At 42.3% G+C, this 26,531-nt stretch overlaps 3 annotated features.

Annotated features, from left to right (window-relative positions):
• Positions 3,507-4,706: an enhancer, noted in NCBI's record as "BRD4-independent group 4 enhancer chr22:48279628-48280827 (GRCh37/hg19 assembly coordinates)". NCBI's record gives its function as "activates an origin of replication core promoter dependent on BRD2, P300/CBP, MED14 and CDK7 cofactors, and independent of BRD4, by STARR-seq in HCT116 cells {active_cell/tissue: HCT116}" and the evidence as "EXISTENCE:reporter gene assay evidence [ECO:0000049][PMID:35650434]".
• Positions 14,827-16,026: an enhancer, noted in NCBI's record as "MED14-independent group 3 enhancer chr22:48268308-48269507 (GRCh37/hg19 assembly coordinates)". NCBI's record gives its function as "activates an origin of replication core promoter dependent on BRD2, BRD4, P300/CBP and CDK7 cofactors, and independent of MED14, by STARR-seq in HCT116 cells {active_cell/tissue: HCT116}" and the evidence as "EXISTENCE:reporter gene assay evidence [ECO:0000049][PMID:35650434]".
• Positions 23,942-24,114: a silencer, noted in NCBI's record as "fragment chr22:48260220-48260392 (GRCh37/hg19 assembly coordinates)". NCBI's record gives its function as "represses an EF-1alpha promoter that drives an FKBP-Casp9 reporter gene in an ReSE screen in K562 erythroleukemia cells {active_cell/tissue: K562}" and the evidence as "EXISTENCE:reporter gene assay evidence [ECO:0000049][PMID:32094911]".

The following is a 26,531-nucleotide window of genomic DNA, read 5'->3' as shown; positions in this document are numbered from 1 at the left end:
TTGCAGAGTGCCTCACGATGCCAGGCCCCCGGGGCTGCCCGCCCTACCATCAAGAGCTTAGCACTAAGACTCTTTTTCAACTTAAAGAGATCTGAGATTGGGTCACTTCCAGACACATAAGCAGAAACTCAGTAAATATTCACTAAATGTAATTCAATTGAATGAAAACCCAAGAGGAAAGTGTTTTTGATGTTTGCTTGTTTGCTGGTGACCCAGCTCTCTCCAAGTAGCATATTGGACCATACGTTAGAAAACGCTCTCTGAAATTGAAAAAGCACTGACTAATGACAGGACTCCATTAAGAAGGCGGAATGTCACCACGTTATGTTTCATGCATGCTGGGAACCCACACCAAATGGAAAACAGGTGGAGAGCTGGCTCTGCAGCCCAGGCACACAGACCTGGTTCCCTCCTCTCTGCTTGGGCTCCTGAATATTGAATTTGAAATGTTAAGTACTATGAATATTTTGAACAAAGAGAGGCCCCCAGAGGATTCACACACAGTGTTCACAGCCAGCTGCAGGCCTCAGTAGATCTGGCCCTCATTCAAGGATAAGTGAACAGAGGAGAAAACTAAAAACATGAAAATATGATGCAGCTTAAGTGAATTCCATACGACAGATAGATGAAAAATACTCTTCTTTATGCTCATTTTTATTCTACTAGTGCTTACCTCTCCAGTAAGCCACTCAGTTGACCCTCTTCTTGTAGATCAATCTCAAGAATAAAATCATATTTACTGGCCCCTTCCTATGCAAAGCACAATGAGAATTGTCCTGTTTTTGCCTCCTACCTCTTTCCCCCTTCCACCTCCCAGTGTTGTTGCTCAGGTAGGGAATTTTGTGCTCAACTGATTAAATGAATATTAGTTTTGTTTGGCATCATCCCTACTTGTATTTCTCAGACTTTCACACTGGCTATGCTTTTTCCCACAAGCCTGGGAGCTTACCCATCTATCCCTTTGCCCAGAATCCTCCTCCTCAGCTGGTTTTCAGGGTGGATCTTTTGTGTGGTTCATGTTCTGCACCCCTGACACTTCCAGGAAGTCTGCCCTGACCAGCACAGAAGCCAGCGAGGCCCCTGTCACACGGTCCACCTCCCCTGGTTGCATTTATTTCCACCTTAAATCTTAAATCACATCTCCCTTGTGCATGCATGTCTGTCTCTTCCTGAGAAGGGGGCTCCAGGAGAGCAGGGCCAGCCTCTCTTTTCTCTGCTGTGTCCCCTGAACCCACGGGAGGCCCTGAGTCTGTTGCTGCTGACTGACAGCACACACGCATGTAACTGTGAGCAGCCTCTGCAGTTGACCTCCTAGGATATGAAAGAAAATACAGTGTCTATCAAATAAGACAAATGTTATCATGGTCAAAGGATATTCTGAGATGAATTAATGATTAAGACATTTTTAAAAAAGGTAATTCACAGACATAATATCCATTCAAGTTTAATAAGATGAGAACTGATCCTGAAGAAAATAAAAATAATGCTATCAAAGGCAGATTCGAGAACATTTCACAGAATGAAGAGGAAAGGGCACAATGAAGAAAGACCTCAGGAAGAACACGAAAACAAAGAGGGGACAGTGTGATTCTCAGGGGCAGGAAACTGATGGGGTTGAAGAGGCAACATATCAATGGCAGCAGGAACCCTGTAAAGAAGCTCAATAAGAGGAAATCTGCTTGACCTTGGCAAGTGGGAAGGAATCTCACATACCAGACAAAGTAAATACGTCGATAGAGCTCTGAGAAATGACTCCATTTCAGGAATAAATAAAAAATAAAGATTCAACTCAACAAATTAATAAAAGAGAAACAAAGAAGTGTAGCATAAACAAAACCAAATTAACACAGGTCAGAGCAAAACTAAATAGATAATAGCAAAACAATAACACTGAAATGAAGCAAATCTATAGACTGATATTTTTTAATCAACAACTCTCCAGCCTAACTCAGAAAAAGAGAAAAAGTCACAGAAGAGGGTTATGACAATAGATGAAGGGAAAGTAAAAAGGATGTAAGAGACATCTTTAATAGACTCTGTGTGATTCAACAGTTTAGTAAGAAAATATAAATTAACACATCGAATCAAAAGAGGTAAAATATCTGGGCAGTCACTCAGGCATGCCTCTGTTAGAGCAACCCATGGCCAGGCCAGCAACATGGTGCCTCATGGACTGCTCTCCATGCAGCCGGCAGCCAGGGGAACCCCTGCAAAGTGTGTCCCACCCTGCCTCACTGGCTTGGCCCCTCATGGCTGCCCCTCACCCAGAATAGAGTCCCCATTCTTGCCATGGCCACAGCCCCTCTCCCATCCATCCCCTTGCTGTCGCCCCTTTAGCCACTTGCAGCCACTCAGCCCTCCTCTCTCTGCTCCCATCTCTCTGCTACACTCCCACCCCAGGGCCTTTGCATGAGTCACTCCCCTGACCTGGACTCTTCATCTCCAAGATACCTTCATGTCACACTCCTGTCCTCAACTGAACCCTTGATAAAATATCACCTTCCCAGTAAATTCAAAACAGTACTCCTGTCACTATGCCTGAGTCTGCTTTACTTTTCTTTGTCATATTCTCGTGACCTAATAGGTAGGATATATAATTTTTCATTTTAAACCCACCCCTCCTTCTCTCTGTCTCACACATGCAGAGTTGGGGCAAACATTCCCAAGGCACACATCTAAGGAAGAGATTCCATCCGGCCCCCAATGGGCTCACAGGCATCCATTATGAGGAGGTTGCCATCCACTTCCCATTGTCCCGGAATAAAGCAGAAAGCAGGTGCACGCTACCACATCCACGCTCATCCCTTCATCCTTGTTCCTGGGGAGATAAAGACTGCCTGCCTGGAATCACCAGGGACTCTTCCAGGGCCCGGGCACAGTGGCGAGACAGGGAGACAAGTCAGGGCTCCAGCCGCCTCTGGCAGCTCCAGCAGAACTGACATTCAAGGAAGCCAGGACAACCAGGAAAAGGCCTCTGGGGTTTGGGGAGATGTTGTGAGGCAGGCACACGGGGCTGTGATAGCCGTGTGCAGGGGAGGGCTGTGCTAGCTGAGGCTTCTGGAGGTGACCGGGGCTGAAGGAGGACAAGGCCCTGGCATGTGCAGACAGATGGAGAGGAGCCTGGGGGTGGTCAGGGCCGCAGTCAGAGTACTTCAGGCAGAGGGACCCTCAGCACAGGCGAAGACGCAGAGAAAGGGACAGACTGGCTGAGCAGAGGCTTGGAGTAGGCTCAGGGAGCCTGGAGTGTTCCAGGTGGGCAGGGGGCGGGTGCATGGGTGCTGGTCCATGGTGCTGGCACTCTGCTTTCTGCTCTATGGTGCTGCTGTGGCTGCTGGCATTGGGCTGCAGGTGCACACAGAGAAGCAAAGGCGTGGGAACTCCCAGAATCCCCAAATCACAAGAAAGCCAAGTACAGGCAAATGGCGATCATTCAGAATCCAGAGACTTAGCCCGAGCATTGGGAAGACAGGCACGGATAAGCACAGAATATGGCTTCAGGTCCAGCCCTGGGCTCGCCGCTGCACCTCTCTCAGCCAGCATCCTCATCTGTCCTGCAGCAGTCACACCTGTTCATCCACTTTACTGGGAAGGGGTGCAATGAATGTGGACGCACGCGCGTTCCAGGGCAACTTCATCGTCGTTACAGCAGTGGCTGTCGGGGAAAGCCAGTTCACAGGGTTGAAGTAAGTCACCCCTGCCCCCCACTTGTAGGTGAACTGATAAATACCCACGCTGATAAAAGGAAGCGTCTAGAAGGTCTCCCCAGCCTTCATCATCTGAGACTTGGCTTTCAGCCCCAAAGCACTAGGCCCTGCTGTTAACCTTCCACCATTAACCTTTGGTGCTCTTCAATTAGCAGCAGCCAGGGGTCCTTGGCAGGTATGAGAATTTGGAAGGACAGCCCCAGGGCATGGCCCCCGGCTGCAGCAAAAGTTCTAAGTGTTCTTCTGTTGGAAGGAAGCCCAGGAGATATTGATCAGCTGCAGGTGGGGGAGGCCCCAGATCCCACCCTTGCCTGCCTCCAGGAGAAGGTTCTCCATGGGCCAAAATGGAGGCAGAGTCCCACTTTGCCTGGGCAGCTCCCTGAGCATGGCTCCCTGTGGACGGAGCTGAGTGACGTCATGACTCTAGGCCTCAACAAAAGAGCTTTGGAAAATCCCGATGATTCGAATTGTATTAAATCAACAAACATCGGGTTGCACAGTTACTAGAAAACGGAGATCTGCGTCATCACTTACTAGACACGTGACCTTGAACGGCGGCTTCCCCGTGTGAAACAGCAAAGTTCTGTAACCCCCATGAACGCGCCTCACATCCTGCATCTGCTGTGGAAGACGTACGTGGCCTCTGACAACTTGTTCAACTTCCCTGGGACTCAGTTTCCTCATCAGACACTGCAAATGCCAAAACCACTTCAGGGTCAAATGAGATTGTCCATCTGAGAGCACTTAGGAGAGAGATGTCTGCACCAAGTGAGGCCTGGCGGTGCCAAAGTCCCCCTGACCCTGGGGTGAGTTTAGGACAAGGCATGGGGGAAAGCCGTGGCACGGAAGTCAAGTATGGAAGACACCGAGCAGGACCACTGGAAGTGGCTGTCCCCGAAACGCTTCAAGGCCGTGGCTCCTGGCCTGCCCTCGCTGGGACAGGATGCCCCTGTGACCCTCGCTGCCCCCATGACACTCGCTGCCCCGCACCCACCTCCCAGCTTCTGCCCACTGTGCCTTCTTCCCCACGCAGGGCATCTCTCTCTGCTTTACATCAGTGCTGTGGTCTCCCTTTTCAGGATGACAGTGGTGGGAAAGTCTTGGTACAGAGGACATAAGCCCAGATCTATGGGGACAAGGAGAAGGAATTCCCCAGGGCCCCTCCTTGGTGGGAAGGGACAATGACTGTGATGACTTTCAGGTTGAAGATGAGGGGTCTGAACACAGAAAGGGTGGGCCCTGCCCCGCCGTTGCCCTCACGTCCTGCTCTGTTCCCCTCAGTCTCATACGCTCGCTTCCTTCCCCATCTACTTTGGTTTCCGATTCCGTGATCCAGTGGAAGGAACCTGGGCTCCTTGGGGAAGCAGCTGACTCTAGGGCTGGGCAGGGAGTGTACAAGCTGAGCCTGGAGCATCTTGTAGGGCCAGAAAGTGAGGAAGGGCTCACACCACCCACAGTGAAGTGGCGCATCCAGGGGACCCGATAGCCAGCGCTGGAACAAGTGAGCAACAAAAGAACGTCACTCCGCATTGTAACCCAGAGGATCAAATGGGTATCCATGAACCCACGCTGATGAGTAAATGACTGCATAAATTCATAAGTAGGAGAAAAGAGACAAATCTGACGTGCAGAAGAATTTCAAATGATTGATGGAGTTACTCCCCCTTTAACTTGGGCTAGGCATGGTGGCTTCCTTGCTATGAGTCCAGTATGGAGAGGTGAAGAAAGATGAACTCTACAGTAAAGAAACCTGATGAATACACCTCAGCCAGGTGGCGAAGGTCAGCACCAACCAGCGAGGGTCACATTGACAGCAAGCACCTGGCACAGTGTGATGAGAGGGCACCACGCCCTTGTGGTCACCGCAGTCAAACCACGAGAAGCACATCAGACAAACCCCATTTAAGGGACATTCCACAAAATCCCTGACACTCCTTAAAATTGTCTAGGTCATGAAAAACAAGGAAGGTCTGAGTAACAGGCTCAGCCAGTAGGAATCTAAGGAGACATGATGATTAAATGTTATATGAGATTCTGGAACAGAAAAATAAAGGCCATTAGATTTATTAGATTTATAACAAAACACCATAGAGAAATCAAAATAAACTATGAAATTTAGTTAATAAAGGCATGTCTGTATTGGTTCATCAATTATGACAAACGTACCATTCTACTGGGATATGTTAATAGTAGGGAAGCTGGATGTGACATATGTGGAAATTTTCTACCTTATCTTTGCAGTTTTTCTGCAAACCTAGAACTGTTCTAAAAAATAGCTTATTCAGGCCGGGTGCGGTGGCTCACGCCTGTAATCCCAGCACTTTGGGAGGCTGAGGCGGGCGGATCACGAGGTCAGGAGATCGAGACCATCCTGGCTAACATGGCGAAACCCTGTCTCTACTAAAAATACAAAAAAATTAGCCGGGTGTGGTGGTGGGTGCCTGTAGTCCCAGCTATTCAGGAGGCTGAGGCAGGAGAATGGTGTGAACCCGGGAGGCGGAGCTTGCAGTGAGCCAAGATCGCGCCACTGCACTCCAGTGCAGGCACTCCAGCCTGGGCGATGGAGCGAGACTCTGTCTCAAAAAAAAAAAAAATCTTATTCAAAGAAGTCACCTTATAGTTAGATAGCTCTTCCATCCATCACCCACAGAAGTTAGGCCACCAAGACTGAAATCTTTCTACAGTGACAATCTGGCTATCTGTGTCATTTCTCCCTGAACACACTACTGAGTGGTCCTCACGGTGACCAGTGATGAGGGAGAGCTACAGCCAGCACACCCCAGAGAACCAGTTACAGCTATCCCTCCCCTCATTGCCCTTGAGGGACCAATTCACCCAGGAGATAATGACCTGCAAATGAACACGTTTTATTGCACTGAAGACTCAGACCCCACTAAAGGGCCCTGGTGAGCTCAGCTTCATCTTAGGGAGCGCTCTTTTTGCCTAGTCAAGGAAAATCTAAAATTAAAGCAGCTCAGACAGCCTCCCTCACTCCTTGCCAACTCCCTGACCCCCACATGAGTCTCAAACTTTTCCTCTTGGCCCCAAAACCTAGGTCAAGTGAGATGTGAGCAAGCCATTTCCAAGCTAGAAACACAACTGAATCGCCAAAGAGCCTTTGAAGATCTCAGGCCCTGAATCAACTCTGCTTTTCCAGAAGTTTTGGGTGCAAAGGACACATAAGGAAATTGGAAATCATCATTCTCAGTAAACTATGGCAAGGACAAAAAACCAAACACCGCATATTCTCACTCATAGGTGGGAATTGAACAATGAGAACACATGGACACAGCAAGGGGAACATCACACTCTGGGGACTGTTGTGGGGTGGGGGGAGGGGGGAGGGATAGCATTAGGAGATATACCTAATGCTAAATGACGAGTTAATGGGTGCAGCACACAAACATGGCACATGTATACATATGTAACTAACCTGCACATTGTGCACATGTACCCTAAAACTTAAAGTATAAAAATAATAAAATAAAATAAAATAAAAAGGATTGCTGTGCACAGATGTGGGCAGAGGGAAAAGCAAGCAAAAGGGGGTCATCCTAGCCCATGTCCTTGGGATAGTCAAAATCACCTTAGCAGAAAGCAGCTGGAGGCCCCAGGAGGCCCCGGGCTGAGGACAGAAGAATGGGCAGTGGGACAGAGACCTTTGCCCTCCTCCGCGTGCCACACAGGAGCCCCCAGCTGCTAAGAAAGGACCTCAGAAAAAATGTATTCATGGGCCCACCAGGCAGCTCTGAGCCCCTTCCAGACCCAACTCACTGGAGTACCACTCAAATAAGAACCCTGATGGGGTGAAACTTTAACAAGATGAGAGGAGGGAGAACACAAGGTGGGGAGGAAGGGGACAGCTGGCCACACCCCTAGTGCCTCCTGCAGGTTTTCTGCCCGGAGCAGGTCTGAATACAGAGATGGGAGAGGCCCCCGCTTTCAATCCTGTTCAGAGTTTTGATTATTACACTGGACTGAGCATACTAATAACCAACTTGGGTATCTTTTATTACCCGAGAGTGACAAGGAAATTCATGGTGCTGCCTGTGTTTTCATACAGGGCAGGAGAAAAGAGAACCTTGCTGAATAAATTTAAAGGGTCAGCTAGAAAAGCAAGTCATCTCGCTAAATCATCCCAGCCTTATTTTTCCACCTGATATATACGTAACACATACGTGCGTAGATGACATATGTGTGTGCAGATCCCTATGGTTGATGCAGACAACATTTTATCAACCTTGAAATCAGATGTGCCCGAGGCTCTGGAACATTCGAATGTGCTGTAATGTGTTTCACATAAAATACCCGTGAACACTTTCCACATCACTCATTGTCCCTCTGAGAGAAACATGTCCTGCCTGGCCAGGACTCTGGTCTGTGGGTGGACAGTAAAGGACTTAGACAAGCTTCTGCTGAGGAACATCGAAGTTGCTTCCCCATTTTTAATGTAGCTGCCCACTTCTGAATTTGGTGCCCACTGTTGGCCAGCAGAGCATTCTGACCAATGGTGCCTGATGCCTCCAGGTTGACCCCTGGACTTGTGCCGGGGCCTGGATGAGTCCTGATGGGGCCTCTCCTCTACCCTGGAAGCACCGGGCTTCCTCTGAGGCTGCACAGTCTGCCTGGCACAGACAGTAGCCATCTGTAGCTCTCGGCTCCCGGACGCCCTTCAGGTTTTATGAATGTGGCACACACCTTCCCGAGGGGAATAAGGCACCGAAACTGCTGATGTTCGCCTGGACCCTCTAATTGACTTTGTTCTATAAGGAAACAACGCCACCTCGTTTTCTGATGTCCCGAAGAAATGTGTCCCCAGAGAGCTCCGAGAAGGGCTGAGTGGCCCCTGGTGGGACGGCGGATGCACGCTGCAGCCGTGTGGGTCCCCCAGGGCACTGGGCCATCACCCACAATATTGGCTTCCTTTCTGTGTTTACGTGTGTCGCGTCATAACCGGCGGTGTGAACCAGCGCGTCCTCAGTCTCAGAACGAGCAAGCGAGTTTAATTCCACCAGCTCATACCAATGCCTATTCCATCTGCTATACTGAGTGTGCTTTGTGTGTCAGACACCACTTCAGGCCTGGAGAAGCCATCGTGAATAGAACGAGAGGGTCCCAGGCCTCAGTATACAATTCACCGACCCTGACATTAAATGCATAAATGCCTCCAACTGGGAAGGGTAAGGAGAGCATGGCATGGAGACAAAGAACAGTGGATCCAAATTAGAGAGGGGAGTTCAGGGCCAAGAGGCAATGAGCTGGGTGGGAGGGGTGAGTTCCAGGCTGGGAAAAGCCCTGAGGCAGGAAAGGTTTGTGGGTTGCAGGTACAAAAATAAGGCCAAGGGGGCAGGGCAGAGGCTGAAGGGGTGTGTGTTATGGGTTGAATCATGCCTCACAAAATATGCCGAAGTCCTAACCCCCAGTACCTGTAAATGTGACTTTGTTTGGAAGTAGAGTCTTTGCAGATAGTCAAGATGAGGTGATAAGGGTGGGCCCTGATCTAATCTGACTGGTGTCCTTTATACATGGGCTAAATGGGGACAGACAGACACGCATACGGGAGACCCCATGAACACACAGGGGGAAGAAGACCATCGATTAGCCAAGGAGTGCCTGAGACCCCCAGAAACTGGAGAGGGGCCTGGAACTCGCTAACAGCTTTCAGAAGGAAACAACCCTGCTGACACCTCGATTTGAGACTTCCAGCCTCCAAAACGGCGAGAAGCTGCATTTCTGTTGTCTAAGTTGCTTGTGATACTTAACTATGGCAGCCCAAGTAGATGGATACAGTAGGGAAAGACGCCGGCTGGGCGCAGTGGCTCACACCTGTAATCCCAGCACTTTGGGAGGCCAAGGCAGGCAGATCACGAGGTCAAGAGATCGAGACCATCCTGGCCAACATGGTGAAACCCTGTCTCTATTAAAAATACAAAAAATTAGCCGGACGGGGTGGCGTGTGCCTGTAATCCCAGCTACTCAGGAGGCTAGCCAGGGGAATCGCTTGAACATGGGATGTGGAGGTTGCAGTGAGCCGAGATTATGCCACTGCAGTCCAGCCTGGTGACACAGAGAGACTCCGTCAAAAAAAAAAAAAAAAAAAAAAAAAAAAAGTCATGTGCAGTCTTCCAGGCAATGCCAAGAATTTTACGTTTGATCTCCAGGAACAGGAATGCTGCAAGGCTAGTTAAGCAGGGAGGGAAAATGATCAGACTCAAGTTTAACAAGACACCTTCGGAGGTACCACTACAGGGGTCAGTCACTGGGCTGAGGGTGCACATGGTCACCCCCCCCAATCATGCTACAGAGCCATGGCCAGTCTAGGCCAGCGGAGAGGAGCTTGGGCTGTGTCCCAGAGACCTGGATCCAGGGCCATTGCCACATGACCTTGGGCATAGAAACTGGAGTCTCACTTTCCTCAGATGCAAAGTGGGAACCACAGTAGCACATGCTTCCGGCAGGTTCTGTGTCATACACGGGCAGTGCCTGGCCCAGCCCAGCCCAGTAGCTGCTTGTTAATCCATGGTGCCCGCTGGGCATGCAAAGGGGAAGCATGTGTTTGTTGTTCTGACACAGAAGAAATGTTCAGGATAAACACGTAGACATCAGAAGCCGTGGAATGATCTATAAAGAACTTCGGAACCAGCATAAAATCTCAGTGGATTTTTTACCTCTTGAACTAGCCCCAGGGTGTCTGCTAAGATCGCAGTCTCAGGAAGGACTGAAAGGGTTGGAGGCTCAAGGGGAAGGCTTCTGAGACCACTCAGGGGTGGGAACCAAGGGGCTGGATCATTTCAAATCTGCCTCAGTCTCAGTGTTCAGTTTGGGACACTTGGTCCAGAGAAAGGAAATAAATCTGGGTGGCTTCACTTTGCAGTTTGTACTTAAAGACAGGCATTACACCATCGATCAATCCAACAAATATCTATTGAGCCTCAAGCCATCATTTATCCATGTGTTCAAAATACTCAGCAGGTGCAGACAGCGAGCTTGGAACAGAACCGGCCCTGCCTTGTGAAGTCTGTTTTCTATTGAGACGCTTACACCCAATACACACACACAAAGCAAACAGAGTTAGGTAACCTAGGCAAAGAAACAAGTGAAAGTGGCAGAGATGAGGGTTGTGAGGAACACACACAGCACCAAGACGAAGAACAATAGTGAGGGGGCAGAATGGGTGGCCCGGCCAGAGGACGGGCATCTCAAGATCCAGCCACTTGAGGACAGAGGACAAGCAGGCAAGGGGAACGGGGTCTCAGGGGAAGAGGGCTTGAGACCAAGCCCCTTGGAATAATTGAGGTAACACACTCACACATGCATGAGTATGTACCCATACACGCATAGGTACATGCATGTATATGTACGTACACACACAAGTGTGCATAAACACACATCTAAATACAAACACACATGCATGCACACATAGATCCGTGCTGCACACACAGGCACAGGCACACAGCACTGTGGTTGGAGCATGATGAGCAGGAGGAAAGGGCAGGTGAGGAGGCTGGGAAGTTGGCAAGAGCCAGAGGCGGTGGGCTTAGTGTGGTACGGGGATTTTGTTTGTGCTCTGAGCGTAATGGAAACCACAGAAGTGTTGGAAGCAGGAGAAGAACGTGCCTGTTATACGCTGTATAATCCTGGCCACTGTTTCTGTGGAGCAGATAATCTGGGGTGAGAATGGAATAAGGAGGTGAGTTAGGAGGCCTCTGAGCAGGCCAAGGGAGTGACGGTGGTGGCCCGGACCAGATGGCGACAGTAGAAACGGGAGTGAGTTTGTGGATGGGAGGGGCAGAGCAAGCCCATGGGGGAAACGTGGAGTGACAACAGTGGGAAAATCACATCTGAACAGAAGCAAAATGTGATGGGATACAGCACACGATTTTTTCCAAAACTGAAGGTAGACATCAGGCCAGAGACTCAGAAAGATCTGTTAAGCCAAGATGGATACATTCAAAGGAAACCTGACCCATGGGCATATTGCAGGAAAACTGCTGGGGGAACAAGACAAAAAGTCTTAAAGACACCCAGGGAAAGTGAACATGTGGTCATCAAAGTAGCAGTAACGAGGCTGAAAGATGACTTTCCAATATAAGCCACGGAAGCAAGAAGGCACCGGAATTACACGCTATATATGAGTTCTTTAAAAAGCCTCAAGGTAAAGTTTTATACAGAATTATAGCATCATTGTAAATGAAGACAAAATAAAGACATATTCATCAATCAAAAACTAATGAAGACAAAATAAAGACATATTAGTCAATCAAAAACTAACAGTTTTTAGCCTACAGACCAAAGTCTATACAATTGTCAGATTGGACAATGAAATGAAAAAAAGAAAGTACAGAAAGGAATGAAACACAAAGAAAAAAACAAAATATGGGTATAATTTAATTAGAAAATAGTTAAACATGAATTGAATTATACAAAATAATAAATGCCCTCTAGAATTTTTATGTGTGTGTGTGTGTGTGTGTAGGTGTGTGTGTATATAATTTAAATTCATGCCAATAAACATGCAAAGGGCAGGAGGTAATTGATACTGAAATATTCTTAGGATGTCTAACATTATTAGATGTCTTTATTTTGTCTTCATTTACAATGATGCTATAACTCTGTATAAAACTCTACCTTGGGACTTTCAAAAGAACTTTAAGAATAGCATGCAATTCTGGTGACTTCTTGCTTCCATCATTTATATTGGGCATTTATCTCATAGTCTTGTTACTGCTACTTTGACAACCACATGTTCACTTTCTCTAGATGTTTTTAACTATCTCAGTATAAGACACAGTTGTTATTGGGCCATAAAGTTCCAAGACATATGTTAGAAAAACTAAGGTAGCCACCATAAGAATTGCCACAGAATGTATTATTGTCAAGCTAAGAGAGGGAAATTAATAGCCTTAAATGCATATATAGAAAATAAATAAAATCAGTCATCGAAGTTTGGATCTCAAGAATCTTGCAAAAGAACAACACATCAAAGTCAGTGAGGGTAGAGAAAAGAAAAGAAAGACAGAGATATCAAAAACATGAAATAGAAGAAAAAAAACAAGAAAAACAAGAAAAACTAGCAAAGCGAAGAAATGGCTTATTTTAAAAAAAGATTATAGACAGTTAAACTGAGCAAGATTTATCAAATAAAATATTACCAATATCAGGAATGATAAAAGGAAATTTATTACAGATCCTATAGATATTAAAAGAAAAATTATTATAAACTACTTCAACAATAAATTAGGCAGTTTAAATGAAATGAGAAAAATATTTTTAAAATGCTTTCTAAATATGTCACAAGAACAAATTTAAAAATCTTAGTAGCCTCATATTCAGTAAAGAAATTGTACCTATTACAATTCTCCCCCCATGCCCACCTATATAAATCTACCAAACAAAACAAAAATCTAGAAGCGCAAAATAACCCACAAGTAAATTTTGAGGGAAAGGGTAAAAATAAATTTTAAATTTTGAGAGAAAGCGTAAAACTAATATTATGTGAGATCTTACAAAGATAGGAACTGAGAGAAAGCTTCCCGGTATCCATAATGAGTCCAATTTACTATTTTTACATAAAACCTGGCAAAGGTACTAGAAATTGGAAACCTATCTCCCCCATTGACATAGGCGCAAAGACACTAAAATCAATACAGAATGATAATTCAGTTGTAAATAAAAAGGCTAATACATTATGACCAAGTGGCATGTATTCCAGGAATGCAAAGTTAATAAATATTTCAAAATAAATCAATGCACTTTGCAGAATGAAAGAAAAGACAAATTATATATCATTTAAAATTGTGCAACACACACACACACATTAGCCACACTCTGACACACAGTCAGACTAGAGACTGTCAGAAAACAGGAGTGAGATGGGAATTTCAATATTTCAATAAATGTATCTACAAAATACCTACCACAAACTTCACATTTAAAGGTTAATTTCTGAAAGCTTTGCATGTAACATCAAAAAAGCTCTTATATCTGCTATTCCAAATTCTATTCAACATAGGAATAAAGGCTTTAGTCAGTGCAATGAGGCAAGAAACAGAAATAAAAGAGATAAAGACAGAAAAAGGAAAGTCATTATAGACATAAAAAGTCCAAAGTATCTACTGACAAAACATTAGCAATAACACATGAATTTGGTGAAGTCCTGTACTGCTGTTGTATAAAAATAACAGCAACAAAAAGTAGTGCATTTCTGTATGCCTGCTACAATGAAATAGAAAATAAACTTTTAAAAAGATACTAACTAAAATAGCATCACAAATCAAATAAGTAGAAATGAACCTAGAGGAAGTTGTGGAAGACCTCAGTATGAAACTGATACAATGTTACTTAGAAAAATTAAAGACGATCTATAGGAATGGAAAGCTATCTATACTCACCTACTGGGAGATTCATTATACAATGTCACTTCTCCCTAAACTGAGGTATATAGTCGATGCAATTCCCCCAAAAAACCCCTACAGATTTTTCCATGGAAACTGATGCAATTCTTCTAAAGTATATGTGAAAACACAAAAGTATATATATATATAGCCAAGGAAACCTCAAAGAAAATGAACAAAACGAAAATCTTACAGTAGCTGATCAAGGTATGTTATAAAGCCACAGTTACAAGACTCTAGAGCAAGTTTAGAGAAGTAGAACAAATGAGCAGAAGAGTAAGTCCAGAAATAGATCTATGCACCTGTCTGAATTACAACGATGATACCACCTCAATTCCGTGGAGGAAAGATGGACTTTCCAGTCATGCTGGACCAGCTGGAGATCTAGAGGGGGTGGGGGGGCAGTGGGAAACAGCAATGAACCTGACCCCTCTCCTGTCCAACAAATATTTTCAGATGCATCACAGACTTCTGAAGTTTAAAATTTTTAAAAAGGCTTCTAGAAAAAAACATAAGACCATGTCTTTCTGAATTTCAGACAAGCATATTGTTTAAATGGGACAAAAATATGATAACTCTTCCTAGAACGTATCATCACAATGTCCAGAGTAGAATGAAAATATTACTAGCAAAAAAAAAAAAAAAGTATAATTAACTATGCTAAGAAACAGGAAAATATGACCCTTGAGCAATAGAAAAAGCTATCAGGAGAAACTGACGCTGAGGCATTTAGATGTTGGGGATGGCAAACGAGGGCTTCTACATAAACGAAAAAAGATTAACCCAACTACATTTCTAAAAGCTCAGCTTCTTTCCTTCAAAAGGTACCAGCGAGGAAGTTAGGAATCAATACACACACTTTTGCTCCTGGCCATCCTAGAGTAACTGGTGAAGGAGTTGCCCTTTCACCCTGTAACTACGAACCAGGTTCCAGACCCGGGACTGAAGGCACAGCAGAACCATGATTCTGGAGAAAAGCCAGTGGGAGCCTGGAGTCGGCTGTGGACCCAGCTTTCTGCCCGAGGTCTGGGGAGAGGTGCCCAGGCAGAGCAGAGCCTAAATGCGGAAGACAGCAGAGAGCAAGGCTGGGCGGCACACGCCTGGAGTGAGATGTGCAGGACTCAGAGACAGCTGCTGCTGGGGCTGGGAGGGAACCTGAGATTTCAGGGCCCGACTGCTGGAAAGCTCAGGGCCTGCCGCAGCCAGTGTAGAAACCTCACTTGAACATCTCGGGCATTCAGCTGAGAACCCAGAGAGACTTTAGCTCAAACAGTAAGGACCACACCTTAGCGTGAGAACCACACGCTGGGATGAAGGACCATGCCGAAGTTTAATTACTGTAACAAAATCAAAGAAAGCTTAATACCTACAACTGATCTGCCTTCTAGAAAAACAAAAACAAAACACGGAAACTTCTTGAAAGGGCACAATCTCCTCCTCCTAAAATATGTCACCGCAGTGTCCACAGTACAATAAAAATAGTCTTAGTCATGACAAGAATTACCCTTCGGCAAAGAAAAAGCCATCAAGAGGAACTAATGCTGAGGAATTTAGATATGAAGACAGCAACCGTCTACATAGGCTCCGGCGTGGCTATTTTCAATAGGCGCAGGGATTTAATGTGAGAAATGGTCATGATGAGTGAACAGTGATCTCGGCAGAGAAACAGATCCTGTAAAAGTAACCAGGAAATTCTATAACTGAAAATCACTTTTTTAAAAAACTTAATAGAAGGGATTAAGAGAGAGAGATAGTATATTGCAGAAGGAAGTGCGAATTTGAAGGCAAATCAACAGAAATTATCTAACTTGAAGAATAACAATGATAAAGATTATAAAAATAGTGAACAGAGCCTGAGAAACCCATGATATAATATGAAGTGATCATTCATATATTTGAAGTCTCATGAGGACAGAAAAGAGAAAATGGAGTACAAACAAATATCTGAAAAAAAAATCACCAGATTTTTTCTGAATTTAATGGAAATTAAATTCAAGAAGATCAACGAATCCCACAAAGGATAAATTCAGAGAGAACTCTATTTACGTACATCACAAACGTGGATAAAAAATCAAAGTTTAAGAGAAAGAGAAAATCTTCAAAGTAACTGGAGAAAAAACAGTAGATTGGTCACATAGAAAGGAATCACACTATGACCTCTCATGAGAAATGCTGGAGAGCAGGTGAAGATTGGCAGTGTTTTTAAAATGCTGGTAGAGGGCTGGGCATGGTGGCTCATGCCTATAAACCCAGCACTTTGGGAGGCTGAGGCAGGAGGATCACGAGGTCAGGCATTCGAGACCAGCCTGGCCAACTTGGTGAAACCCCATCTCTACTAAAAAGACAAAAATTAGCCAGGCATGGTGGCACATGCCTGTAGTCCCAGCTACTCAGGAGGCTGAGGCAGGAGAATGGCTTAAACCCGGGAGGCGGAGATTGCAGCGAGCCAAGATCGTGCCACTGCCCTCCAGCCTGGGCGACAGAGCAAGACTCCGTTTCAAAATAAATAAATAAACAAAAATAAAAAACTGAAATGCTGAGGGGAAAATAAGAGGAAGTCTTAAGTTAGAATTATATAACCAGGAAAACATACTTCAACGTATGTGAAATAAAGATTATATTTAATAAAAGAAAGGTGAAACAATTAGTCACCAATGAACCAAAACTGAAATAATGCTGTAAGAAAATTCTTTAAACTGAAGAAGGAATATGGGAGGAACACTCAGATGTACAGACAGAATTACGGAGCATCAGGTGAGTGAGCGTTGAAAGAAGTAGCCTTGGAAGTATATTGTGCTGTGTGTGCAGACGGAAAGCGTGTGGCCGAGGACAGGAAGAGACTTCAACAGAAGAATATACTGTCCCATTCTTCAGTTTTATAACAAATAGTGAAATAGTTTAATACTCACTCTCAGAGACTGTGATAAATTAAGGATGCATATTGGAACCCCCAGGCACTTAAACACATGCAAACACAAAAGTCAAACTAAAATGTCAATAGAGAAAATAAAATAAAATTCTAAAATATATTTGATTGAGGAAGACAGGAAAAAAAATAAAGAAACAAAAACCAGATTGAACAAATCGCAAAAAGAATATGCTTGATAAATTATATATCAATAATTACATGAAATATAAATAAAATACAATAATTGAAAGACAGAATATCAGAATGCATAAAAAGCAAGATTCAACTATGTGCTATTTACAAGAGAAACATTGTAAGCATAAAGACAGATAATTTGAAAGTAAAATAGTGGGGAAACATATATCACGAAAACAACAAACATTAGACTTCTGGTATAGTCATAATAATGTAAGACAATGTACAATCCAAGACCAGGATTATAATTAGAGATTAAAAAGGGAGTGTAATCATGGTAAAATAGGTAGTGTGCCACAAAGAGATAACATTAATACATGAGTGCTGTTAATAACAGTCCCAAAAAATACAAGAAGCCCAAACTGACAGAAGCAAATAGAAAAACCCACACTTGGGATTGGAAATTTTGAAGCCCATCTCTCAGTCACTGATAGAACACATAACAAAAACAAATTAAAATACATTTTCAAAACACAGTAAGGATATAGAAACTTTGAAGAGCACTATCCACAGAGTTTATCTGATTGGCATTTATAGAAAACACTGCCAGGCACAATACATACTCTTTTCAGGTGTGCATGAAATCGCCACCAGCAAAGGTCATTGGGTAGGCTGGAAAATGTCTCGATAAATTTTATAACATAAAAATCCTATATTGTATGTTATCTGACTGTAAGACAATTAAATTACAATTCAATAGCAACAAAAATCTTTCCTAAAAATCCCCAAGTTTTTGCAAATGTAACAATGCATTCCTCTTTTTGTTAATTTATAGAATTGTGCAAACATTAACGCAACCCACATTAAAACACTCATTAAAGCCCTCAAATTTTCCTCATGGCTATTCATTGTTAATCCCCACTCCCACCACCTGCCTTTGGCAAACAGCCATCTGCTTTCTGTCTCCATACATTTGCTTATTCTGGATGTTTCATATAAAAGGAGTTATGCAATAGATAATCTGTTGTGTCTAGCTTCCTTCACTTGGAATAATGTTTCTGCGATTCATCCATCTTGGAGCACATATCAGCAGTTTGTTCCTTTAATCATTGAATAATATTCCTTTGCATGGATACATTTTATTTATACATTCACCAGCTGATGGACATTTAAAGTGTTTCCTCTTAGGGGTTCTTATAAATAATGCTGCTTCATCATGTGTGTACATATTTTTGCATGGACATATGTTTTCACTTCTCTTGGGTAGCTTCTGAGGAGTGGAATTGCTGGGATGTATATTGAACTTTTTAAAGAAGTGCCTAGCTCCTTTCCAAAGTGGGCATCCTGTGTTGTTTTCCCGTGGACGGTCTAGGAGGAGCCGAGCTTCTCACATCCTCAGCCGCCCTTGGTACTGTCAGCCTTCATGACCTTCAATAGGCAGGAAGTAGCATCTCATTTCGATTTTAACTTGCATTCTCCTAATGACTAATGATGTTGAACATGTTTCCATGTGCTTTTGGCCGTATGCGTATCTTCCTTGGTGAGTATCTAGTTAAAGCTTTTGTCCACTGTGTAATTGGGTTATTAATCTTCTTATTACTGAGTTGTAGGAGTTCCAGACACAACTCCTTTAACAGATATATGATTTGCAAATATTTTTTCACAGTCTGTGGCTGGTATTTTTATTTTCTCAACAGGCTTTCAAAGTGCCAAAGTCTTTAATTTGATGAAGTCCAATTTACCTTTTCTTCTTCTTCTATGGATCATGCCTTTGCTGTCATATCAAAGAACTCTTTGCCCAACTCAAGGTTACAAGGTATTACACCTGTGTTTTTCCTAGATGATTTTTAGCTATAGGTTACACAGTTTAGACTATAATGCATTTTAAGTTAATTTCTGTATGGGCTGAGATGAGGGTCTACGTTAATTTATTTTAGGCATGTGCATATCCAATTGTCCCAGCACAATCTGTTGAAAAGACTATTCTTTCTTCCATTGAATCACCTTGACATCTTTGTCAAAAATCAGTTGATCACAAATGTAAGGCTAGATTGCTTGACCCTAAATTTTGTTCCATTACCTGTATACCTTTCTTTAAAGCAAAACCACATCGTCTCAATCGTTGTAGCTTTATACTGTTTTGAAATATAGTCATGTATACCCTCGTCTCTCTTTTTGTTCTATTCCTATGTATATTTTAGGATCTGCTTGTCCATTTCTACACAAAAACCTGACTTGGGATTTGGGAGGAATTCTGTGAAATTTATGAATGGATTTGAGGAGAACTTTCATTGTGACAATATTGAATCTTCAGATCCATAGACATGAAATAGCTCTCAATTTATTTAGGTATTTTATTTCTTTCAGCAATGTGTTATACATTTCATTGTACAAGTTATATATCATTTGGTTAAATTTATTTTTAACTGTTTCCTTTGGTGTTATTGTGAATGAAATTTTTTGGTTAATTTCATTTTTTGATTATTTGTTGCTGTCAGTAAAAATATGATTGATTTTCATATACTGATCTTCTATTCTCTGAACATCTAAATAAAACGTGAGTGAAAAAGAAGTTACAAGGGCCATTAGAAAATATTTTAAAACTTAGTCATAATGAAAATGCAACAAATCAAAAGTTCGCAAAATGCAGACAAATACAGTGCCTTTGGAAAATTTAGAGTTTTAAATGTTCATATTAAAAACAAGAAAGATTTTAAATTTTATTATCTAAATGATGCCTTAAGAAGCTAAAATTTTAAAACATCTAGCAAGACTGATCAATAAAAAAGAAAACACAAATTATATCAATGTAAAGAATAAAAAAATAGATGTTGCTACATGTCCTACAGATATTAAAATGTTATAAACAATTTATGGCCAACACTTTACACCAATGACAACTGAAATCAAAGAGACAAATACCTTGGAAAATATGACTTAGTAAAGTTGACAGACATTACAAAACAAAAGCAGAAAATTATTCTTCAGAAACAATGTTCTTCAGAAACATAAATAAAACAATCATCCTTAATAAATTATTAGCAAAGTGAACCTAGCAATATATAAATATGAAATATACTATAAGCAAGTGAGGCTTATCACAGGAATGCAAGGTTGGCTTAACATTAAGACATTAATTGATTAACATTAAAAGAACAAAGAACATTTTATGATAATCTCAATAGATGTAGATAAAGTATTTGGCCAAATTCAATATCCATTCATATTGAAAACTCTCAGCCAACCACTACTTGCAGGAAAGTGACTCAATCTGTTAATGAGTATCTACAAACATTACCTAGAGCTAACATCATACTTAATGGTTAAATATTGCACACTTTTTTCCTGACGTTTGCAACAAAGCAGGGATGTCTACTCTACTCTTACCATTACATTGAATAGTGTGCAGAAGGTTCTATCCAGTATAATAAGGCAAGGATAAGAAATAAACTCTTAATTATTTGAAAGGAAAACCAAAACGTTCTTCATTTTCAGACATAATTGTTATGTGAAAAGCAAGAAATCTATCAGAACAAAAATATAACACTGATAAGTTATTTCAGCAAGGATGCAGAAAACAAGGCCAATATGCAAAAGTCAATTACATATCCTTAGAGCAGCAGCAAGAAAATGGAAAATGACATAAAATATTTACATTTTAATAGCATAAAATATATCTAGAAATAAATAAACCAGAAATATCTGCAAAATCACTATACTGAAAACTATAAAACATTATTGAGATTAATTTCAAAAGGTGTAATGATGAAGAACCATACATGTTCTTCATGGATTAGGAAATTAAATATTCATATATGTCGGTATCCCCCAAATTAATGAATAGATTCAATGCAATCTTAATCAAACCTTAAAGGTTTTGTAGAAATTGAGAAAAGCTAAATGTATAAATTTTCTAGATCTTGGATAGGCAATGATTTTCTAGAGAAGATAAACAGCAATAACTTTAAACTTTCTTAAAGATTTCATCAAGTAAAAAACTCTGCTTCTTAAAAATACTACTAAAATTTAGAAATGAAACAATAGAGTAGGAGAAAATATCTGTGATACATGTATCTAAAAAAGAATACACAAATATATATATTTGTATTGTGTATAAATATATAATTTACACATTATATATATTTATATATATATGTGTGTGTGTGTGTGTGTATATATATATATATATACTGCAATTTAATACCAAGTGGGAACCACTTCACACCCATAAGAATGGCTAAAATTAAGCCAGGCACACTGATGTGCACCTGTAGTCCCAGCTACTTAGGAGGTTAAGGCAGGTGGATTGATCGCTTGAGCCCATGAGTTTGAGACCATAGTGCACTATGATCGAACCTCTGAAGAGCCACTCCACTTCAGCCTGGGCAATGTAGCAAGATTCTATCTCTTAATAAAAATTCTGGCTCAAATGAAAAATACTGACAACAACAAATATTTGCAAAGATTTCAAACAAAAATATTGCTCATATATTTCTAGTGAGAATACACAATAGAACTACCCCTTTGTAAAGTGGCTTGCAAACTTTTTAAAATAGTTAAACATATAGCCACCTAGCTACTGACTGGTTTTATTTAGAGAGGTAATGAAAATATATTTCTATAAAACATCTTTTACATGAATGTTACTGGTAGCTTTAAACACTGTAGTCCAAAACTGGAAGCCACACAGATATCCATCAACAAGACAATGGATGAACAAATTGCGGTATTTCCATATAATGGAAAGTCACACAGCAACAAGAAGCATAACACTACTAATATATTGGACAGCACGATGGAGCTCAAAAGCACGCAGAGGGAAAGAAGCCACTCACAAAATTATATCTATTGTAAGAGTCTGTTCATATGAATTTCTAGAGCAGGAAAAACTCATCTATGCTGCTAGAAATCCAGGCAGTAATGGCCTCAGTAGGGGCAGTGCAGGCAGTGACAGGACAGGGCTAAAACATAACCTTCAGTGTGATGGGATTGCTTTGTATCTTGATAGAGGTACAGGCCATGCTGGTACATGTGTTTGTCAAAACTTAAAGAACAAAGCATATATTCAATATCTGTGAATTACACCATTTGAAAAGAAGGGCTTAATAAAATTAAAAACAAAAATCCATGCCATATTATGAGAGAATATATTTTAATATATTTAATTAAATATATTTAACTTATTTTAATTAATAATTGATTGATAATGTACTAATTCAAATATATTAAGTATATTTGAATATATTTTAAAAGATAACTAAAATGTAACAGGAATTCTACAAAATAATGAGAAAGAGAGACCCCACCCGGAGAAAAACGAACAAAAGACTTGAATAGGCCCTTCTCAACAGAGGATCCCCGAATGGCTAAAAGGAAAAAAGTTGTCTCCAGGAAAATGCAAATTAAACCAGAAGGAGATGCCACTCTGCTTCCACTAAACTGGCTTAAATTAAAAAAAAAAAAAAAAAAGCAATAGTACCCAACATTGGAATGATATGGAGTGATTGAACTCTGATACTTAATGATGTAAATTGATGTTTGAGCAATTCCTTAGGAAAACCATGTAGCAATATGTGATATGTCTCAACATGCCCATAACTTTGTACCTACCAATTTTGTTCCTAGATACATGCCCAAATATTTACATATACTATCCACAAGACATGCATAAGCGTGTTCCCGGAAGCTTTAGATGTCATAGTCCAAAACTAGCAAGCACCAAAATGCCTATCATCAACAGTGTAATGGGTTCATGAATCGTGCTGAATCCTTGCACTATTCCTACTATAGCAATGAACTCCCATTATAGCATCAACATGGGTGATGGGTAATTTTAGGGATCAACTTGACTGAACTAAGGGGTGCCCAGATAGTGGTAAAGCATCAGCTCTCGGTGTGTCAGTGAAGGTGTTTCTGGAAGAGACTGGCATCTGAATCTGTGGACTGAGTAAGGAACATCCTCTGTCACCCAGTGTGGCAAGCACGATTAAACTGGCTGAGGGCCTGAACAGGACAAAAAGGCAGAGGAAGAAAGAGTTTGCTTACTTGCTCCCTCTCTCCTGGAGATGGGGCACACTGGCTCTCCTGCCCTTGGGCATTAGAACTCCAGGTTCTCTGGCCTTTGGACTCCACAATTTGCAAGAGCAGTCCTCTGGGTCCTCAGACCTTCATCCTTGGACTGAGAGTTACACCACTGGCTTTGCTGGTTCTGAAGTTTTTGCACTTGGACTGAGCCACACTCCCAGCTTCTTTGCTTCTCCAAATTGCAGATGGCCTTTCATGGGATTTCTCAGCCACTATAATCATGTGAGCCTATTCCCCTAATAACTCTCTCCCTATCTATCTATCTATCTATCTATCTATTTACCTATCAATCATCTATATATCTAACTATCTATCCTATAGGTGCCGTCTCTCTGGAGAACCCTGATACAACGCGCATGAATCGCAGATATGATCGCAGGTGCATGCTGATGTTGGAAGCCAGATTCCAAAAAACAGCTTTATCAAGCAAAACAGAAAGCTCCTATCACTTAAGTATTTTAGGAAAGTGTGGAGTTTAGGGATTGGTGGACTTTTGTACCTAGAGTGTTGCTAGTTTATTGGGGCCACTTTAAACTAGGTCTTTGTTTACTAGTTTACAGCTTGTAATTAGGGCCAAAGAATGCCAGCCTTCTATTTCCTTTCCTGAAGTTGGAGACTCATCTCTTTTTATTCTCAGGGGATTATTGACAAGGAGGGCAGTTAGGAGGCTTTTACGGTGTCAGCAATATTCTGTTTCTTTTTTTTTTTTTTCTGAGACAGAGTCTTGCTCTGTCACCCAGGCTGGAGTACAATGGCACGATCTTGGCTCACTGCAACCTCCACCTCCCAGGTTGAAGTGATCCTCCTGCCTCAGCCTCCTGAGCTAGGATTACAGGTGCCCACCACCACACCCAGCTAATTTTTGTATTTTCAGTAGAGAAGGGGTTTCACCATGTTGGTCAGACTGGTCTCAAACTCCTGGCCTCAAGTGATCTGCCTGCCCTGGCCTCCCAAAGTGCTGGGATGCCAGGCATGAGCCACTGTGCCCAGCCAGCAATTTACTAAATTTAAGTTTATAAACAAAATTAACAAACATTTTCTAAAAATAACCTTTATACATAAAAAACAATGTTTAAGTTAAAAAGTTAATGCATATGGTTAAAACAAATTAGAAATTGCTTTTAAAAAAGGAAAAATAAATATGAACCTAGAAGATGTATCTGAAGAAATAACTCAATGCAGCTTCGAGAGATAAGGAGATAGAGAGTTTAATAGAAGAGTTACAAGATAACGTTAGCGATGGATTATGATTCAGCTTCAGAAGAGAAGGAAATCCTGCTGAACAGGATAACATGGATGAACCTGGAGAACAGCACGCTACGTGAGGTGAGCCGGTCACAGAAGGACAAATGCAGCACAATTCCACTTAGATGAGGTATTAAAATAGCCAAACTCGTAGAAACGAGGAGTAGAACGTGGTTGCCAAGGGCTGGAAGGAGGAGATGGGAGTTGCTGTTCAACAAGTGTAAAGCTTCTGTTCTATAGGATGAACAAGCCCCAGAGCTCTTATTGTACAACACTTTGTGCCTATAGTTCACAATACAGTATTGAGCCCTAAAAAATATGTTGAAGGTAGCTCTCACATTGTGTTTTTTTGTTTGTTTATTTGTTCGTTTGTTTGTTTGTTTGAGACGGAGTCTTGCTCTGTCTCCCAGGCTGGAGTGCAATGGCATGATCTCGGCTCACTGCAACCTCCGCCTCCCAGGTTCAAGCTATTCTCCTGCCTCAGCCTCCCAAGCAGCTGGAATTACAAGTGCCCACCACCACGCCCAGCTAATTTTTTTATTTTATTTTTATTTTTTTGAGAAGGAGTCTTGCTCTGTTGCCCAGGCTAGAGTGCAATGGCGTGATCTCAGCTCACTGCAACCTCTGCCTCCTGGGTTCAAGCGATTCTCCTGCCTCAGCCTCCCAAGCAGCTGGGATTACAGGCATGCGCCACCACGCCCAGCTAATTTTGTATTTTTAATAGAGACGAGTTTTCTGCATGTTGGTCAGGCTGGTCTCAAACTCCCAACCTCAGATGATCCGCCCACCTTGGCCTCCCAAAGTGCTGGAATTACAGGCGTGAACCACCGCACCCTGCCTTATGTTGCATTCTTACTATAATAAAGAAGACAACATTAATATCAAGCAATAACAACAATAGGTAAGACATAAGTTTTTCCATTATGTCCTGGATCTTTCCTGACATTCATCCATTCAATCCTCACGTCAAACCTGCACCGTGCTAATGTCACCCTCATTTACATGGTGAGATTACAGAGGGACGGAGATTTTAAGTAACTTGCCTAAGGTCACACAGCTAGGAACTTTGGGGAATAAGATTTAAACCCAGGCAGTCTTCTTCAGAAATCATGCTTTTAATCACCATTCAAAACTGCCTCTAGATAACAGAATGAAAAAGTCGCATATATTTGCTTTCCTACAAAAAAAAAAAAGAATACAGCAGTAGACACACTTAAAGAGACAATTTCCATAATGTCAAAAAAGATGGATCCACCAACATAGGAAGCACTCTATATCTAAGCAGAATAAAACAAACTCTACACCTAGACATATTTTCATGAAACTGCAGTCCCAACACCACAAGACAGCATCTGAAAATCATCCAGAAAGAAAACTGAAAAAGATGAACTGAATTGTTGACTGACCCCACCTGCCCTGAAACTGCCCACTTTCTGCCCTGATACCCACAGGCGGAATAGCAGCCCCTGCAAGCTGGCTTCTGTCCCATTTGGCCAAGAGGTCAGCAGCAGGGGGCCGGTGGGTGGAAGGGGTCTTGCTTCCCTGCTCCATCCATTCTTCCTCACCACTTCTCAGGAAGCCCCATGCCTCCATGGTGGTACCTCCCGGGCTTCATGCCAGCTCACACAGGACCTGGTAACGCTGCATCTTTCCCTTCCCTGTTTGATTCTTAGGGTGGCAAAGCCTTCCAGCTGTTACCAGTCCTTAGTTTCCCCATCTCTCTCATTTCTTTCCTTAATATGCCAACAGGTCTGTTAGTAGTTTAGTCATTAAGGTCCCTTCATTTAAAACATCTGTGTGAATGTTTTTTCCTCCTAAGACCCTGACTGATCTCATTGTGGCTACTAGGAATGGACTAGGAACCAGAACTTCAAAACGAGATTTGGGGATTGAGTTTCTCATGTTTGGTGGATGCATGGGTGGCTTCCTTGCTGGGACAAAGCTCTTACTAGTAATACATGACGAGCAATAACATCACCATTGTGTACGTACTGTCCAAGCGATATGGATAGGGTGCTGGCGTAAGGAAAAGCTCTCCGTAACCAAGTAACTGCTGCTGTT

The sequence above is a fragment of the Homo sapiens genome, chromosome 22 (genome assembly GCF_000001405.40).
Source record: "Homo sapiens chromosome 22, GRCh38.p14 Primary Assembly".
Taxonomy (NCBI): domain Eukaryota; kingdom Metazoa; phylum Chordata; class Mammalia; order Primates; family Hominidae; genus Homo; species Homo sapiens.
This window is presented reverse-complemented; position numbering and strand designations above follow the sequence as displayed.